The sequence below is a fragment of the Homo sapiens genome, chromosome 12 (assembly GCF_000001405.40).
Source record: "Homo sapiens chromosome 12, GRCh38.p14 Primary Assembly".
Taxonomy (NCBI): Eukaryota; Metazoa; Chordata; class Mammalia; order Primates; family Hominidae; genus Homo; species Homo sapiens.
The window spans coordinates 4313452-4330899 of record NC_000012.12 but is presented as its reverse complement, the minus strand read 5'-3'; the positions used below and the strand labels follow the sequence as shown (position 1 = coordinate 4330899).

The 17448-nt window shown below is 44.4% G+C and overlaps 1 protein-coding gene and 1 pseudogene across 1 annotated transcript in view, besides 2 other annotated features; one reads left to right on the top strand and one right to left on the bottom strand.

Annotated features, from left to right (window-relative positions):
* Positions 1 to 9687, bottom strand: part of TIGAR (TP53 induced glycolysis regulatory phosphatase) — a 38816-nt gene extending 29129 nt beyond the window's left edge. Inside the window, exon 1 of the mRNA NM_020375.3 lies at positions 9597 to 9687. Coding sequence (NP_065108.1) covers positions 9597 to 9628 — 32 coding nt within the window. The 5' untranslated portion in view covers positions 9629 to 9687. The remainder of the gene's footprint in view (positions 1 to 9596) is intronic.
* Positions 6061 to 6560, top strand: RPS15P7 (ribosomal protein S15 pseudogene 7; annotated as a pseudogene).
* Positions 9442 to 10095: an enhancer, noted in NCBI's record as "H3K27ac hESC enhancer chr12:4429971-4430624 (GRCh37/hg19 assembly coordinates)". NCBI's record gives its function as "activates a minimal SCP1, AML or CMV promoter by ChIP-STARR-seq in naive H9 embryonic stem cells {active_cell/tissue: H9 hESC(naive)}" and the evidence as "EXISTENCE:reporter gene assay evidence [ECO:0000049][PMID:30033119]".
* Positions 9597 to 9976: a silencer, noted in NCBI's record as "silent region_4153". NCBI's record gives its function as "represses an Ori minimal core promoter by ATAC-STARR-seq in GM12878 lymphoblastoid cells {active_cell/tissue: GM12878}" and the evidence as "EXISTENCE:reporter gene assay evidence [ECO:0000049][PMID:35858748]".

Below are 17448 nucleotides of genomic sequence, written 5' to 3'. Positions count from 1 at the left end.
TTCATTGCTGGACTGAATGAGCAAGTGAAAGAGAATCTGAATGGAATGGGAGAGACGTGCACAAACCTTCAGAACCCCCTGCCTTCTCTTAGTTCCTAGGTCTTCAGCAGTTATTTTTTGTAGTACTGACAGCTATCTCGCAGACCAACTAACTGCACACTGAACTGAGGTTTGAGTACTACACTTTTAAAAACTAAAATACCAAAACAAATCAAAGCAATCTGAACCAACCGGAAGGGTAAAAGAACTGGAAACTTTGTCAGAAAATAACTGGGGTTACTGAGGCTGGAGGGGGAAAAGGGCGGGAAGTGCATGGGCAAGACTGGACAGACAGCAGGATAGGTTAACAATAATGCAACTTTCAAATACATGAAAAGTAGAATCAAAGAGAATTCAGCTGAAATTTCTTTGAGCACTAATTAAATGTTTGCTGACCCAACCTACCACTAGAATTGCTGGGCCATAAGGTATGCAAATACCAGCTTTATTAGGTAATGCCAGTGTCATAGCAGGTTACACCACCCTGTAGTGTGGTGTACCACCCTCAACAAGATTCAGTGATGGAAGGTTTCTTCAATTTGTACCAATCTGGTACCTGAACAATTCATCTCACTTTAATTTTAATTTGCATTTCCTTGATTTCGATGGAAAATGATCGCTCCATTGTTTTTAAGTGAAGCACTAGTTTATAATAATTAAAATGTCACATAGGACTGATTTACTCAGATCTAGAAAAAAAAATCTACCAGACCTGGAAGTCAGAATCACAAACTCAGGCCTCATCCTGGAATCTTGCCGCTTGTTTACAAAAACAGCTGTATGCCAACCTCTGCCAAGATACAGATTGCTGGATTTGGCCAATATGAATGTTCTTTAAGACCCAACACAAGACTGGTTCTTTTAGGTAGTCTCCCTCCCCAGTACCATTCCCCATCTACCTACTCTATTTAATACCCACACTCTATACTCCCATGGTCCCCTGGCACTACCAACATAAGTTTTCATCTGTGTGCTAATTGACTTTTTAGCTCTGTGTCTATCCTGGCTCCAGTTCCTTAAAGGCACAAGCAGGGATTGCATACCCTCAACATGCCCAGGGCCTGGAGAAAATGCTGGGAAATGACAGAACTTCAGTGAATGTGCTTTTACCTAGGGAGGGTCATCTGGAAATACCTATCAAAATGACAAATCTGTTTACCCTTTTATCCAATAACCCAATTACTGGGAATAACTGAATTCACTCATATTTAAAAGATTATTTGTGGCCAGACGTGGTGGCTCATGCCCGTAATTCCAGCACATTGGGAGTCCGAGGTGGGTAGATCACGATGTCAGGAGTTCAAGCCCAGCATGGCCAAGATGATGAAACCCCATCTCTACTAAAAATACAAAATTTAGCCATGCGTGGTGGCGGGCGTCTGTAATCCCAGCTACTCGGGAGACTGAGGCACAAGAATTGTTTAAACCCGGGAGGCAGAGGTTGCAGTGAGCTGCAATCACACCACTGCACTCCAGTATGGGTGAGAGAGCAAGACCCTGTCTCACAAAAAAAAAAAAAAAAAAAAAAAAAAGATCATTAGCTACAGTATTATTTCTAATAGCAACAGATTATAAACAACCCAAATGTCCATAACTCATTCCTTAACTATGGCCAGAATAACCATTATTTATATTAACAAATAAACAGTGACATATCTACCTAATGGAATCCTATGTAAATGTGTCCTTTAAAGAGAGAGATTATATGTAAAGATATGGAATGCTCACCAAGATATATGATTAAGTAGAAAAAGCAGGGTATAGAGTAATATAAAAAGAAAGCTACCCTTTTAGAAAGGAGGGAAATAAACATCTGGATCTGCACAAAGAAACAATGGAAGGATAAACATGAAACTAATAAATGTGGCCACCTATTGGTTGGGGGAAGAATAGGAAGACTACGGAGAATTGTTTTGATTTCTAAATATGTAGATGTATTAGCTTAAAAAATAAACGTATGATAAAGAAATAAAATTACACAGAACTGGCCAGGCACGGTGGCTCACGCCTGTAATCCCAGCACTTTGGGAGGCCGAGGTGGGCAGATCACGAGGTCAGGAGTTCGGGACCAGCCTGGCCAACAAGGTGAAACTCCGTCTCTGATAAAAATACAAAAATCAGCCAGGCATGGTGGTGAGTGCCTGTAGTCCCAGCTACTCGGGAGGCTGAGGCAGAAGAATCGCTTGAACCTGGGAGGTGGAGGTTGCAGTGAGCCAAGATCATGCCACTGCACTTCAGCCTGGGCAACAGAGCAAGACTCTGTCTCCAAAAAAAAAAAAAAATACATGGAACTATTTATACCTTGGTAAAAAACCAACAGCACTGATTTGCCATTATCATTGTTGTTAATATTAATAAAAGATTACCTAGGCCACATGCAGTGGCTCATGCCTGTAATCCCAGCACTTTGGGAGGCCAAGGAGGGCAGATCACCTGAGGTCAGGAGTCCGAGACCATCCTGGCCAACATGGTAGAATCCTGTGTCTACTAAAAATACAAAAATTAGCCAGGCGTGGTGGCAGGCACCTGTAATCCCAGCTATTCGGGAGGCTGAGGCAGGAGAATGACTTGAACCCAGGAGGTGGAGGTTGCAGTGAGCCAAGATCATGCCATTGCACTCCAGCCTGGGCGACAAAAGCAAGACCTCATCTCAAAAAAAAAGATTTCCTACACTCCAAAATTCATTCAGAATCTTATAAAATGGGCATGAAAGAGGATATTAGCCTCTACCATTCAGATGGATAAAGCAGAAGCATTCAGGGCAAACATGGGGAACCTGTCATTTTTAATCTAGAAAATAGTTACCATGTATTGGATTCACTTCCTGTCTCAGCCTCAAAATCTTGCTGAGACCAAGAATAAAATATCTGTTATTTCAATATAAGTAACATCCTCGGCTGGGCGCGGTGGCTCATGCCTGTAATCCCAGCACTTTGGGAGGCCGAAGCAGGCGGATCATGAGGTCAGGAGTTTGAGACCAGCCTGGCCAATATGGTGAAACCCCGTCTCTACCAAAAATACAAAAATTAGCTGGGCGTGGTGGTGTGTGCCTGTAGTCCCAGCGACTCGGGAGGCTGAGGCAGAAGAATCGCTTGAACCCAGGAGGCGGAGGCTGCAGTGAGCCGAGATTGCGCCCTCAAAAACAAAACAAAACAAGTAACATCCTCGCTAGACAGTGGCTTGTAGCCCTTAATTTAAACCTGGCCTAAAACTGCCTCCATGCCTAGGGAGCTGTCACCTAACTTAATATGCACACAAACTACAACATAATTTGAGAGTATATTCCTGTAATAAAAACCAAGTCTCAGCCAACCATGCATGGCAGCTGAGCTTTCAGCCAATTATGGGCTGCAAACTGCTCAGACATGTCCTAATAAGGCAAAGCAGAGCTGTATCCAATCAGGCTATCTCTATATGTCACATCCTTTCTTTCTTTTTTTTTTTTTTTTTCTGAGATGGGGTCTCACTCTGCAGCCCAGGCTGGAGTGCAGTGGTGTGATCTCGGCTCACTGCAATCTCCAACTCCAGGATTCAAGCGATTCTCCTGCTTCAGCCTCTCAAATAGCTGGGATTACAGGCAAGCGCCACCACGCTCAGCTAATTTTTGTATGTTTAGTAGAGACATGGTTTCACCATGTTGGCCAGGCTGGTCTCTAACTCCTGACCTAAGGTGATCCTCCTGCCTCGGCCTCCCAAAGTGCTGGGATTATAGGTGCGAGCTACTGCGCCTGGCCATGTCACTTCCTTTCTCTGTCTATAAATACTGCCTGCCTATGTCACTGGGTGAGCACTCTGAAGCTTTACTGGTTCAGGTGCTGCCTGATTTATGATTCATTTCTTTGCTCAAATAAACTAAGTCTAATTTGTCTAAAGTTTTTCTTTTTATAGGTTGCTAACACAATTTCCAGCCAAAGCCAAAGAAGCACCCTCATTTTGAAATGAGGGGTGAGAAGAAATTTAATAATTTGCCAACCAAGAAATCATGCAAGAGCCACCAAAAAAACTCAGAATTTACAAATCACAGAAATTTGGCAGAGATGATTACTTTTTGTATACTTGCTGAAGAGTAACTCAGCATTTTTATTTAATCAAAGTAGATAATGAAAGATTCAAATTAAAATAAAGGTTTACACTGTCAAAATGTCATTTTATAAAAAATGGAATCCCAGAAATTTGATAGTTTCATAAAAGTACTGCCCCACCATCTAACGATTTTCAGTGAAAGCAGCATAACCACTGTGATATAATGAAGGACTCATTTAGCCATATATCAACAGAGGCTGCTGTAGACTCAATAGTATTATTAACAATCACAGCATTCAGTTTAGTTCTATTTGGCATTTTTGCGTTCAAATCACTTTATAAATATTAAAGAGTAGGAATCCAAAAATAGATTTTTTTCCAAAAGCTTTCATAAATATTTAGTTGTACAGCTTTTATCAGCTTTATTAAGAGGTTTATATAAATCCTTGAAGTAACTGTTTAATTAGTACGTTTGGGGAATGGGAAAGGAAACTTGATGGCTAAAACAGTTTTACTATTAATCTATTTCCCTTAACCAAGTCTGACTTGTGATAGCAGCAGAGAAGGTGAACGGAGCTGAAAGGTCAGAGGGATATATTTTGAAGGAGTCAGGAATAACACCACTCATTTTCAAAATCTGCAGTGTGGTCCATTTCCAAAACAGAAACCTGACTCTGCAGGAATCCGAGTGCTTCTGCCAAGATGTTAAGTCTTAGGATCAGCCATTTATAGGCCCTACAAATATACATCATTCATTTTGTAGGTTATCTCACAGTTCTTAAAAGACATTATATCTTGTTAGCCTGGATTTATACGCTGCAGCATTTCTTCAAAAATCATACAGAAACCTCAATTTCCCTTAATTCCATTTAAGGAATTCAAATTCAACACACAATACTCAGCGTGCTACAAAGGAGGAACAAATCATGGGAAAGCTGTTCTTTAGTGTAAATGAAAATGTAAACCCTCACCTGATATCACGAATACAGCTTAGTCCTAATTCCTTTACACTAATACATTCATTTGCAAATATAGAAGATTTCAAGAGCTAGTAACACAAGACTTTTGGTGGTCTTTCTTTTTTTTTTTTTTTTTTGAGACGAGTTTTACTCTTGTTGCCCAGGCTGGAGTGCAACGGCGCAATCTGGGCTCACTGCAACCTCTACCTCCCGGGTTCAAGAGATTCTCCTGCCTCAGCCTCCCGAGTAGCTGGGATTACAGGCGAGTGCCACTACGCCCAGCTAATTTTTTGTATTTTTAGTAGAGACGGGGTTTCACCATGTTGACCAGGCTGGTCTTGAACTCCCGGCCTCAGGTGATCCACCCGCCTCGGCCTCCCAAAGTGCTGGGATTGCAGGACTTTCGGCTGTCTTTGATCTTTATAAAGTATCTGTACAAGGTATCTTTATACTTTTATAGAGCATTAAAATTTTATAAAAGTATTAGCTTTATAAAAATACTAAATTACAGATGAGCTAATAGTATTTTGCTTGCTTTATTAATATACAGAACAATTATTAGCATTACACAAAAAGTAACTGCCAATAAAAGTACAGTAAGAAAAATCAGTTTTGCTATCAGTAACTTTACTAATTCGGCCAGGTGGGGTGGCTCACGCCTGTAATCCCAACACTTTGGGAGGCCGAGGCAGGCGGATCACCAGAGGTCGGGAGTTCGAGACCAGCCTGACCAAAATGGAGAAACCCCATCTCTACTAAAAGTACAAAAGTAGCCAGGCATGGTGGCACATGCCTGTAATCCCAGCTACTCCGGAGGCTGAAGCAGGAGAATCGCTTGAACCCGGGAGGCGGAGGTTGTGGCGAGCGGAGATCATGCCATTGCACTCCAACCTGGGTGACAAGAGTGAAACTCCGTTTCGTCAAAAAAAAAAAAAAGCAAAAACAAAAAAACTTTACTAATTCATTTTTAAATCATTAAAAGTATATTAAATTTAGTTTGCCAAAAAATTTTAAAGCTTTACGAGCTGCCTAAAAATGGAAGTGAACTTTTCTGAGGATCCGACAAGATGGCCGAGGTAGAGCAGAAGAAGCGGACCTTCCGCAAACTCACCTACCGCGGCACAGACTTGGACCAGCTGCGGGACGGGACGTGTCCTGCGAGCAGCTGACGCAGCTGTACAGTGCGTGCCAGCGGCCGCAAGTGAACCCGGGCCTGCGGCGGAAACAGAACTCGCTGCTGAAGCGCCTGCGCAAGGCCAAGAAGGAGGCACCGCCCATGGAGAAGCCGGAAGTGGTGAAGACGCACCTGCGGGACATGATCATCCTGCCCAAGATGGTGGGCAGCATGGTGGGCGTCTACAACGGCAAGACCTTCAACCAGGTGGAGATCAAGCCGGAGATGATCAGTCACTACCTGGGCGAGTTCTCCATCACCTATAAGCTGGTGAAGCACTGCCGGCCCGGCATCGGGGCCACCCACTCCTCCCGCTTCATCCCCCTCAAGTAGTGGCTCAGCTAATAAAGGCACACATATTTCCAAAAAAAAAAAAAAAAAGGAAGTTAAATGGATGGTTTTGCCGGGGACTCACTGCAAACACCTACAACATTCCAAGGAACCAGACCCTTCAGTAGTGCTGGATAGGTGATGGTAATGCCAACCTACACGTGTTGGAGTTTTCAACAATGCTGTGCCATAAGCTCATGAGAAGTTATAGTCTGACAATGATGATAGACTTGAATTCTGGAATCTTGGGCAGTCTGTTCCAGAAATGATACACACTGGTACTTTCATTTCAAAGTATGAAGAAAGATAAACCACATACAGGAACAGCACAAGATTCCTAACAGGTTCTGTTGAACTTAAATTGCTTTAAAGATTTTTTTGCATTATCTGAAGAGGTAAGTCCAATAAAATTATCTAACTCTTCAAAAAGTCATTACATTTAACTATGGTGATAATGAGTCAAATTTAAAAATCACTTCTTTTCCTGAAAGAATCACCAGGTTTTGGTTTTGAGAACTCTGAAGGCAAGAAGCAGGAGGATCCAGACCGGAAAGCATTGAACCAGCCCTCTCACTCCATCTTCCTACACATAAAACAGAACAAAATAAACTATTGTCATAACTCCACACAATTATATTAAGAGACTAAAAAGTAGCCTCAAAAATGGCTGGTGATGTTCAAGTAATCTACAAATACCGGGTTTTAACAAATTAAGTAGGAAACAAAAGACGGTGAGTGGTAAAGTTGCTTTGGTTAAACTCCTACTTCCTCAACTTGCCATGTGACTTTAAGCAAGTTACAAGGCGTCTCTGTCTCAGCTGCCTCATGTGAAAAATGAGGATATCAGTCCTTAACTCACTAAACTGTCAGATTTTAATTACAACAGTGCCTGGCAAATAATCATTTATTAAGACTTATTTTTTAAATGATTCCTATGAGGGCCTCCGGAATCAAACCCTTTTTAAGCAGCAGAAAGGGAATAAAATCCATATTTATATGACTATTGTCTATTAGGAATCTAAATAGGAATCATCTTACTTTTTAGGGGTTGCCTTACCCCAAATATTCTACAACTTCTGAGTTTTCTTTTTTTTCTTTTTGAGACAGGGTCCCACTGTGTCGCTTAGGCTGGGGTGCAGTGGCCCAATCACAGCTCACTACAGCCCTCACTTCCCAGGCTCACATGATCCAAGTGATCTTCCTGCCTCAGCCTCCCTATTAGCTAGGTTCACAGGCATGCACCACCACAGCCAGCTTTTTTTTTTTTTTTTTGTAGAGAGGAGGTTTCACCATGTTGCCCAGGCTGGTCTTGAACTCCTGTGCTCAAGGGATCCACCCACTTCCGCCCCCCAACGTGCTAGGATTACAGGGGTGAACCACCTTGATGGTCTGAGTTTCAATTATAAATATGACACTGGGCTGGCTGGGTCAGGCGTCTAGAAAGTGCACTAACATTGGAAGAAAGGGTGATCAGGCCTCTAGTTCCTGTTCTGCTACCGATTAGCTGTGTGACCTTTAGTAAGTTAAGAATTCTCCCAAGGCATTCTATACAACCGAGAGGGGTGGGAGAAGAGATAGTGAGGAACTAGATTTCTAAGGTAGCCATTAAAATCCTGCTAATCCTAAACAGACAATTTTAGAGGATTCTTAAGATTATCTTTCTTATAAAGGAAGGACAGGCCAGAAAAGATAGCTGTTAAAGTCAATTGACAAAGTTAAATCATATTAATGTCCTTTGTGAGCTCCATGAATGCAGAAATGGTATGTTATTTATCTGTATGATCCAGTCTACTGGCACACATTACCTACTCAAAATGCTGGTGTGCTGAACTATACGTTCGTATTTGGGAATCAACTGCACTTTTATTGGAGCTTTCTTTATAGAAGTTATTTCTCAGATATATTTCTTTCCCTGTTGCATCATACACTTTACCTGTCCCCCATTTAATTCTCGCATTAAAGTAGTGAGATACGCACTATCATTTGCATATCAGGAAACTTAAGTCCAGGCTACCTGGCTCTTAGCTGGAGAACAGACTCCAACCGAGGTCTACCTTGCCTGAAAAATCTGTGCTCTTAGCAGGGCGCGGTGGCTCATGCCTGTAATCCCAACACTTTGCGAGGCCGAGGTAGTCGGATCACTTAAGGTCAGGAGTTCCAGACCTGCCTGACCAACATGGCGAAACCCTGTCTCTACTAAAAATACAAAAATTAGCCGGGCGTGGTGGCGCATGCCTGTAATCCCAGCTACTCGGGAGGCTGAAGCAGGAGAATCGCTTGAACCCCGGAGGCGGGAGGTTGCAGTGAGCAGAGATAGCGCCACTGCACTCCAGCCTGGGTGACAGAGCGAGGCTCCATCTCACAAAAAAAAAAAAATAAAAATAAAAATCTGTGCTCTTAACTACCCTGATTTTCACCTCCCGTTAACACTTGGCAAATACATAAAGACCTATCAGCATGCAGCTCCGTGTAACGTTATGATAATAAAAACATTTATTTGGGATGATACGGTCTGCTGAGATCAGAGCTGTGATCCTCTTTTCTCTCCCAGAACTGTAACCTCTGGGGAAAAGAAAGAAGTCTCATATATGTGCCTGGGGGGCTGACTGCCTGGGGAAACGAGGGGGAACCTCAGAAACTGAGAGGATAGCGGAAGGCAGCCGGCATCAAAAACATCAGCCATGGACGAGCAATTCTGCAAACTCTTTGCAATCTGCTGGGGAGCAAAATCGGTACCCAGACAAGTCTGTGGACATGTCTGGCACCGTTTTTGGTGCAGCCACCAAGTGCCTACGAACCCCGATCCCTTGCTCCTCCGGGCCTCACTTTATCTGAAACACGGAACGAAGCTATCTAAGACCTGCCGTCGTCCCTCGGGGCTGCTGGGGTGAGAGGAGGGGCGACACGGGACGGCCCCAGGGCAAGCGCCCCGGAAAAAGCGCTTCCAAGCCAGCCCTCCCGGGCTGGAGCGAGCAGGGAGGGGAGAGGGTGGTGGACCCGTTTTCCCTTCACCCGCTCCAACACACTCAAGGAAGAGAGAGAGAAAGACATCCTGCCACAGCCATACTCACTGCCGGACAACAGTCAGAGCGAAGCGAGCCATGTTCCCGGAGCCGCGTCCCGTCGGTGGCCCCGCGCCGCGCTGCCCCTGCACTGCGGGCTACCTCCCCCACACCACTTCCGCCAAGCAGCCGGCCGGCTCCGCCGCCATAGGCCGAGGCGGCCTCGCACGTCATCCCCGAAGGCCACTCAGGGCCGGGCGAGGCCGACGGGGCGGGGGAGACGAGGGAGCCACGGGGGCCCCGCCCAGGGCTGCGGCGCTTGCGCCCCTGCGCGCCGGCCTGTGATTGGCGCGCGGCAGGTGCGGGAGGCCCCGCCCGCGGAGTCCGCGGTAGGATTCCTTCCCTCGATAGCCGGCAGCCTGCGTTCGGGGCAGATAAGGAAGCCGGCGCACTGATTTGTGGTTGTTGCGATTGAGGCTGGAATGCAACCGTTCGTCTTATAGCTGGCCACTGTGATGAACCCCTCACGGGTGTACAGCGACCAACAGACTGTGTTCTATGAGGTCTGTTAGTCCCTAACCTTAGGGACGTAGCGTCGGCCAGGTCTGTAGACTTAGACCCACCCACCCCAACTCCGCCGGGACAGACGCCCTCCGTGACCAAACTTTAGTCGGGCTCCTTTGAGGCCTTTTCTATACTAGACGGCATCCTCGGCCTGCTGAGCCTGGTTTTACCAAAGAATCCTGCTAAGCCTGTTTATCAAGAGAGACCTCACTGTTGATGCTCTCTTCTAAGGCCCTTGATATCTAGTAAAGTTCCTCCTCCCCCTCCCCCAGATAGCTTACCACGTTCTGGTAATTTCCCATCTTCTCTTTCATCCCTTCCATCCCGCCCCCTGGCTATAAATCTCCACTGGTCCCGGTTGTATTCTAGAGTCGAATTCAGTCTCTCTCACCTATTGCAGTAGTCTTGAGTAAAGTCTTGCCGTTTTTAACAAGCCTCAGATGAATAATTTCTCTTTAATAGCCTTCAGAACGTTGAGGGAGTTGCTTCATGTTAGATATGAGTTCTAAATTTCTTTTCAAAGAATCAATATGTCAGTATGTTCAATTCTTTGCTTTTTACTTTTAAACTTAACTTCCTCCTAAAGCAACCTTCTCTTTTTTATTTATTTATTTATTTTTTTGAGATGGAGTCTGGCTCTGTCACCCAGGCTGGAGTGCAGTGGTGTGATCTCGGCTCACTGCAAGCTCCGCCTCCCGGGTTCACGCCATTCTGGCTCAGCCTCCCGAGTAGCTGGGACTACAGGCGCCTGCCACCACGCCCGGCTAATTTTTTGTATTTTTAGTAGAGACAGGGTTTCACCGTGTTAGCCAGGATGGTCTCGATCTCCTGACCTCGTGATCCGCCCGCCTCGACCTCCCAAAGTGGTGGGATTACAGGCGTGAGCCACCGCGCCCGGCCACAACCTTTTTCGATTACCTGCTGCACTCTGACTCCTTCCCATTACCTACTCCACCCTGACTCCTTCCCATTACCTACTCCACCCTGACTCCTTCCCATTACCTACGCCACCCTGACTCAGATTACCTGCTCTGTCATAACTGTTTTTCCCGCCAAACCACTCACCCCCATCACTCTCTTTAGATTAGCCAATCGGAATTAGTTTAGCCTGTGCGGTGGGGCACTACACAGCAGCAGGGGCCACGTGCGTCAGGGATAAGAACCCCTTCCCCTCCCTTGTCCAAGTGTGCGCTCACCATTGCTCCATCTGTAAGGACGCACCCTTCTATAGAAGTACCTTGCCTTGCTGAGAATTAAAAAGAAAATTTTATATTCGAGTGCTATTTCTTTTGTGGCACTGAAAGTTTATTTATAACATGAGCTTCTCTAACCCTGGGTTTTGTGACAGGTAAACTGGGATAGCAGTACCTAGCAATGTGACACAAGTAACAATAATGTTAGCTAGGTGACATTGTCTTCCATGCACTGTTACCTAAATTCTTGTATTTCATAATGCATTTATTTCCTTGAATCCCCACTTATATATGAAAAGATGTGTTTAGAGAAGAGATGAATGAGATACTTAGATTCATAGGCACACATTTCAAAACAGTCTTACATGTAATATCACATTTGGCCTTCTGAACAATTCTAAGGTAGACAGGATAGGCTACATTATCTTCACTTTAGAGATGAGAAATATGGCCGGGCATGGTGGCTCACGCCTGTAATCCCAGCACTTTGGGAGGCCAAGGCAGGTCAGGAGAATCTGCAGGTCAGGAGATAGAGACCATTTTGGCTAACACGGTGAAACCCCATCTCTACTAAAAATACAAAAAATTAGCCGGGCATGGTGGCACGTGCCTGTAGTCGCAGCTACTAGGGAGGCTGAGGCAGGAGAATCGTTTGAACCCGGGAGGCAGAGGTTGCAGTGAGCCGAGATTCCAACACTGCACTCCAGCCTGGGTGACAGAGCAAGACCCCATCTCAAAAAAAAAAAAAAAGAAATATGGCCGAGAGAGAGACAGCGATTTGTCTAGGCTCACACAACTGGTCAGCGGTGACACAGAACTAGTTTAGAGGTCCTCAAACCTATCTTTACATTAGAATCGTCTGGAGACCTTTGCCAGGCTACACCCCAGAAAAATCAAATCTGAACTTCTGGGGGAAAGACTCAGGCAGCAGTATCTGTATGCTTTTAATCCCCAGCTGTTTCCAACATACAAGTGGCTGTTCTGAGAGCTAGCAGTTTAAAGCAATGCTTCACAAACTCGAACGTGCACACAAAGCAGTTGGGCATAGTGTTAAAATGTAGATTCTGGAGTTAGTAGATTGGAGTGGGGACCAAATTCAGCATCTCTAACAGCTTGCAGGTCAACAGGAGGCATTTTCAGGATGAGAGTGGAGGGATAATTCAGAGGGCCCTAACAGTGGGGCCCAGATATCGTGTGTGTGTGTGTGTGTGTGTGTGTGTGTGTGTGTGTGTGTGTGTGTGTGTGTCCGTGTCCGTGTTCTGAATGCCCAAATGAATGAATCATCCCAGCAGATTCTCCTGGAAGTTTGAGCTGAAAAAATGAAATTAAGTAGTTATCTGTGAGGGGTGAAGCAGAAAGAAAGCACAGAAAGAAATCATAGGATAGAGTTAGGGCTATGAAGGGGCATGGTGATTGAAGCTGTGAAGAAACAGAAGCCATAAATAATACAAGTGAGAGAACAGAGGAGAGGGTACGAAGAAGCAAAGTCAATGGAAGAAGCAAAGAGACACACAGAGAGACACAGACACAAGTGAGTAATGCAAGGAGTACCCAGTCACTGGTCGCTCAAACTGCCATAGTCCCAGATACCTTGAAAGTTCCGGTTTGTATAGTAAAACCTCTTTCACTTTAAGGTGGTCCAAGTGCATTTCTAACGCCTAAATAAAAACAGCTTCCCATTTTGTCTTATTTAATACACACAGTAACTCTGCAAGGTAGGAGTTATTTCCATTTCACAGATGAAGAATTAAGGCACATACAGGTTAACTAATTTCCCATTTCTTGGGCCAGGCACAGTGGCTCACGCCTGTAATCCCAGCACTTTGGGAGGCCGAGGCGGGCGGATCACTTGAGCTCAGGAGTTGGAGACCAGCCTGGCCAACATGGTGAAACCCCTCCTCCACTAAAACACAAAAAGTAGCCGGGCGTGGTGGTAGGTGCCTGTAATCCCAGCTATTCGGGAGGCTGAGGCAGGGGAATTGCTTGAACCCGGGAGGCAGAGGTTGCAGAGCCAAGATCATGCCACTGCACTCCAGCCTGGGCGACAGAGTGAGACTTCATCTCCAAAAACAAACAAACAAACAAAAACTAATTTCCCATCTCTCAAGATCTCAGAACTGAGTTTGAGACCAGATAAGTATACTCCAGGTTTCAAAACTATAAATCATGAGGGTAACTACTGGCTCTATTTCATTACTTCCTTGGTTCCTAAGAAAATGTTTGGAACACAGTGGAGATTCCATTAAAATCTGTCAAATGAATGAAGAATACCTGTTATGATCAGTTTGTCTAATGAAGCATACATATTTAAAAAAGCTGACATATTGGAGAGGATTATTGTTTTAGGAGAAATTTAGAAAGTTGCAAGGCATCCACCAATGTTATTTCTTTTAATTATCTAAGGAATAAATTAAAAAACAATTCTTCATAAATTTTAAGAATCAGGGGCCAGGCGCGGTGGCTCATGCCTGTAATCCCAGCACTTTGGGAGGCTAAGGCAGGCAGATCACTAGGTCAAGAGATCAAGACCATCCTGGCCAATATGGGCAAACCCCGTCTCTACCAAAAATACAAAAATTAGCTGGGAGTGGTGGTGTGCACCTGTAGTCCCAGCTACTCAGGAGGCTGAGGCAGAAGAATCGCTTGAACCCGGGAGGCAGAGGTTGCAGTGAGCCGAGATCGTGCCACTGCACTTCAGCCTGGCGACAGAGCGAGACCACGGCTACAAAACAAAAAAACAAAAAAAAAAACAGCAACGAAAAACTAATCAGGGGCAAAAACCAGGTTGAAAAATGAGGTGTCTTCAAAATAGTGGACATTGTCCTGCATTATTCACTCAGTGGTTCAGGGATTGCCCTTCCACTTATAAAATGAACAGGGAGTTCACTTAAACTGTATTTCAGATAGAAGCTAGAAACACCCATATATGTATGTATGTGTATATATGTGTGTGTGTGTGTGTGTGTGTATCCATATATATTCAGAGAGAAGCCAGAAATACCCCTATATATATATTTCCAGGTTCTATCTGAATTAGTTTACGTGAACTCCTTGTTCATTTTATAAGCAGGATGTGTGTACATATATGTATATATGTATATACATGTATTTGTGTGTATGTGTGTGTATACGTATATAAATACATATATAAAAAATATGTGTATATATGTTTGTTTTTTTTTTTTGAGACAGGGTTTCACTCCCATTGCCCCAGGCTGGAGTGCAGTGGTGTGCTCTCAGCTCACTACAACCTCTGCCTCCCAGGCTAAAGTGATCCTCCTGCCTCCCGCCTCCCGCCTCCCGGGTTCAAGCAATTCCCCTACCTCAGCCTCCTGAATAGCAATTCCCCTGCCTCAGCCTCCCGAGTAACTGGGACTACAGGCCTGCACCACCATGTCTGGCTAATTTTTGTATTTTTAGTAGAGATAGGGTTTCACCATGTTGGTAAGGCTGTTCTCGAACTCCTAACCTCAAGTGATCTGCTTGCCTCGGCCTCCCAAAGTGCTGGGATTACAGGCATGAACGACCACACCCAGCCATCCACCAATATATTTTGTTGACAGCCTCTCAAATCACATAACGCCTTTTTAAAAAAATGAAAAATGGTGCTTTGTTGAAGCGCATCATATGATGGCATTCTGGATTAGGCCACGTTATGCCGAGGTAACAAATTAACTCTGGAATTTCCATGGCTTCACACACAAGTGTTTGTTTTTCTTTCATGCTATATGTCTGACGTGGATCAGAAAGGGTCTTAAAGCCACATACTCATTCAGGACCTAGGGTTGACAGACATGTTAACTTCAGAAACATAAGAATTCACGATTTTTGAGGCAGGAGATGAGAATAGTTGAGGGTCTTGAACCAGTCCTTAGATGCTTCCTTCATTCATTGTCCAGAGCCACTCACGTGGCCCTACCAAATTGCAGAGGTGATGGGAAACGTGAGGTACACATGAATTGTTGGGGGGTAGACAATCCCATAAACCCTGTGCATGTTGGAGTATTGAGGATTCTGCCCTTGGCTCTCTTCTCTACTCAACTGTGCAGTCAGCTAGATGATCTAATCCAGTGTATAGATCTTAGTTATATCCCCAGCCTGGCCTTTCCCTTGAGCTCCTCATTCGTTTATCTGTTATAGTTGCCTACTCAACATCTACGCTTGGGTCTATAGTTGACATCTCAGGCTAACTTTGTCCACACAGAACCTTCCATTTTTACCCCTAAAAACAGCTGGTCTTCAAGTCTTTCTCATCTCAGTAAATGGTAACACCCTCCACTTGACTGCTCATGAAACCCTTGATTCTTTACCTATCCTAATATTCCCTGTCAAATTCATCATAGATTTCTGTAGGCTCAATAATGCAGTGAGTGCTGGATTTTACTCGTTTTCTTGCTTTTTTTTTTTTTTTTTTTTTTTTTTTTTAAGACAGAGTCTTGCTCCGTCACCCAGGCTGGAGTGCAGTGGCGTGATCTCAGCTCACTGAAACCTCCACCTCCCAGGTTCAAGCGATTCTTCTGCCCCAGGCTCCTGAGTAGCTGGGATTACAGGTACCCGCCACCACGCCCAGCTAATTTTTCTATATTTTTAGTAGAAATGGGGTTTCACCATGTTGGCCAGGCTGGTCTCAAACGCCTGACCTCAGGTGATCTGCCTGCGTCTGCCTCCCAAATCTTGTTTTCAAATAAAGATTAATTACTGTCTTCACCGAAGATGAGCCAAGTGTAAAATGCCTGATCTATTTGGAATGTAGGGTAGGGGAGGAGATTGTGGGTTGGAGCCAGTTCCCCAGGCATTTAAATATTTTCAGCAATGCATTAAGAGTGAAATTAATTACATTGTGACCAAAAGCTGGTTAGCTGGAGTCTGTGAAATTTATATTATTCTTGTTTATCTTTTTTTTATTGAAAGGGTTTTTTTTTTTCCTTAGGGGCTATTCTTGGTAGTAAGACTAAGATAGTTGCAGACTTAAATCTCCAGGACTTCAGAGATTTTCAAGGGTATACATTTTTGAAATTTACAGAGACTTGCTTTGTGGACTAGTCCACAGGCATTTCACAGAAATGTTTCGTGTGTCCTTGTGAAGAATGTGGATTCACTCATTATTGGATACAGAGTTCTATATATACGTCTGAAGCAAGCTTATTTATTGTGTCGTACATATCTTCAATAATAAATAAATGATAAAAGCTATCTATCCAAAACCTTTAAAAAAAGTTTATGGGGTCTATCACCAAATTATGTCCTGAATCCACCACTTCTGGAGTCTCACTGTGTCCCAGGCTGAGCCTTCATCACCTCTCGTCTGGATTACTGTGATAGCCTGTTGGCATAGCTCTGCTGCCTCTACTCTGGTACTCAGCCATTGAAGAGATGTCCCTATTGTGTCACTCCCTTGCTGGAGAATTCTCTATTGAATTCTCATTGCAGTTAGAATGAAGTCCCAACTCCTGCAAGGCCTATGTGGCATGGCCCCTCTTGGCCCTCCAGTTACAATTCTCTCTTCGCTGCCCCTCCTCATCCAGCTCCAGCCGTCAGGGCTTCTCTCTGTTCGTAGACCACGTCATGCTCATTCCTACCTCCGGATCTTTGCATTCTCTGTTCCTTCTGCTCACAGAGCTCTTTCCCAAGATATTTGCATGGCTGCCTCCTTCTCAGCCTTCAGGTATCAACTCAGAAGTCCCACTCTCAAGAGGTCTTCCCTCAAGCAAAGTAGGCTGCCCAGTCACTATCCATCATCCGATTTTATTCTGAAATTATATCATTTATGAACATTTTTGTAGGTTCATTGCTTGTCTTTCTTCAGCAGGATATATATTCCTTGACCGTGGGGACTGGCTTGTTCCCTTCTGTGTCTTCAGCACCTCAAGTAGTACTAGATATATTGTAGGAGCCCAAACAATTCATTAGAATCTATGGTTTTTTTTCTTTTTTTTTTTTTGGTTTGTTTCTTTTTTTTTTTTTTTTTTTTTTTTGAGACGGAGTCTTCTCTGTCACCCAGGCTGGGGTGCAGTGGCGCCATCTCAGCTTACTGCAACCTCCGCCTCCAGGGTTCAAGCAACTCTCCTGCCTCAGCTCCCACATAGCTGGGATTACAGGCATGTGCCACCACGCCCAGCTGATTTTTGTATTTTTAGTAGAGATCGGGTTTCACCATGTTGGCC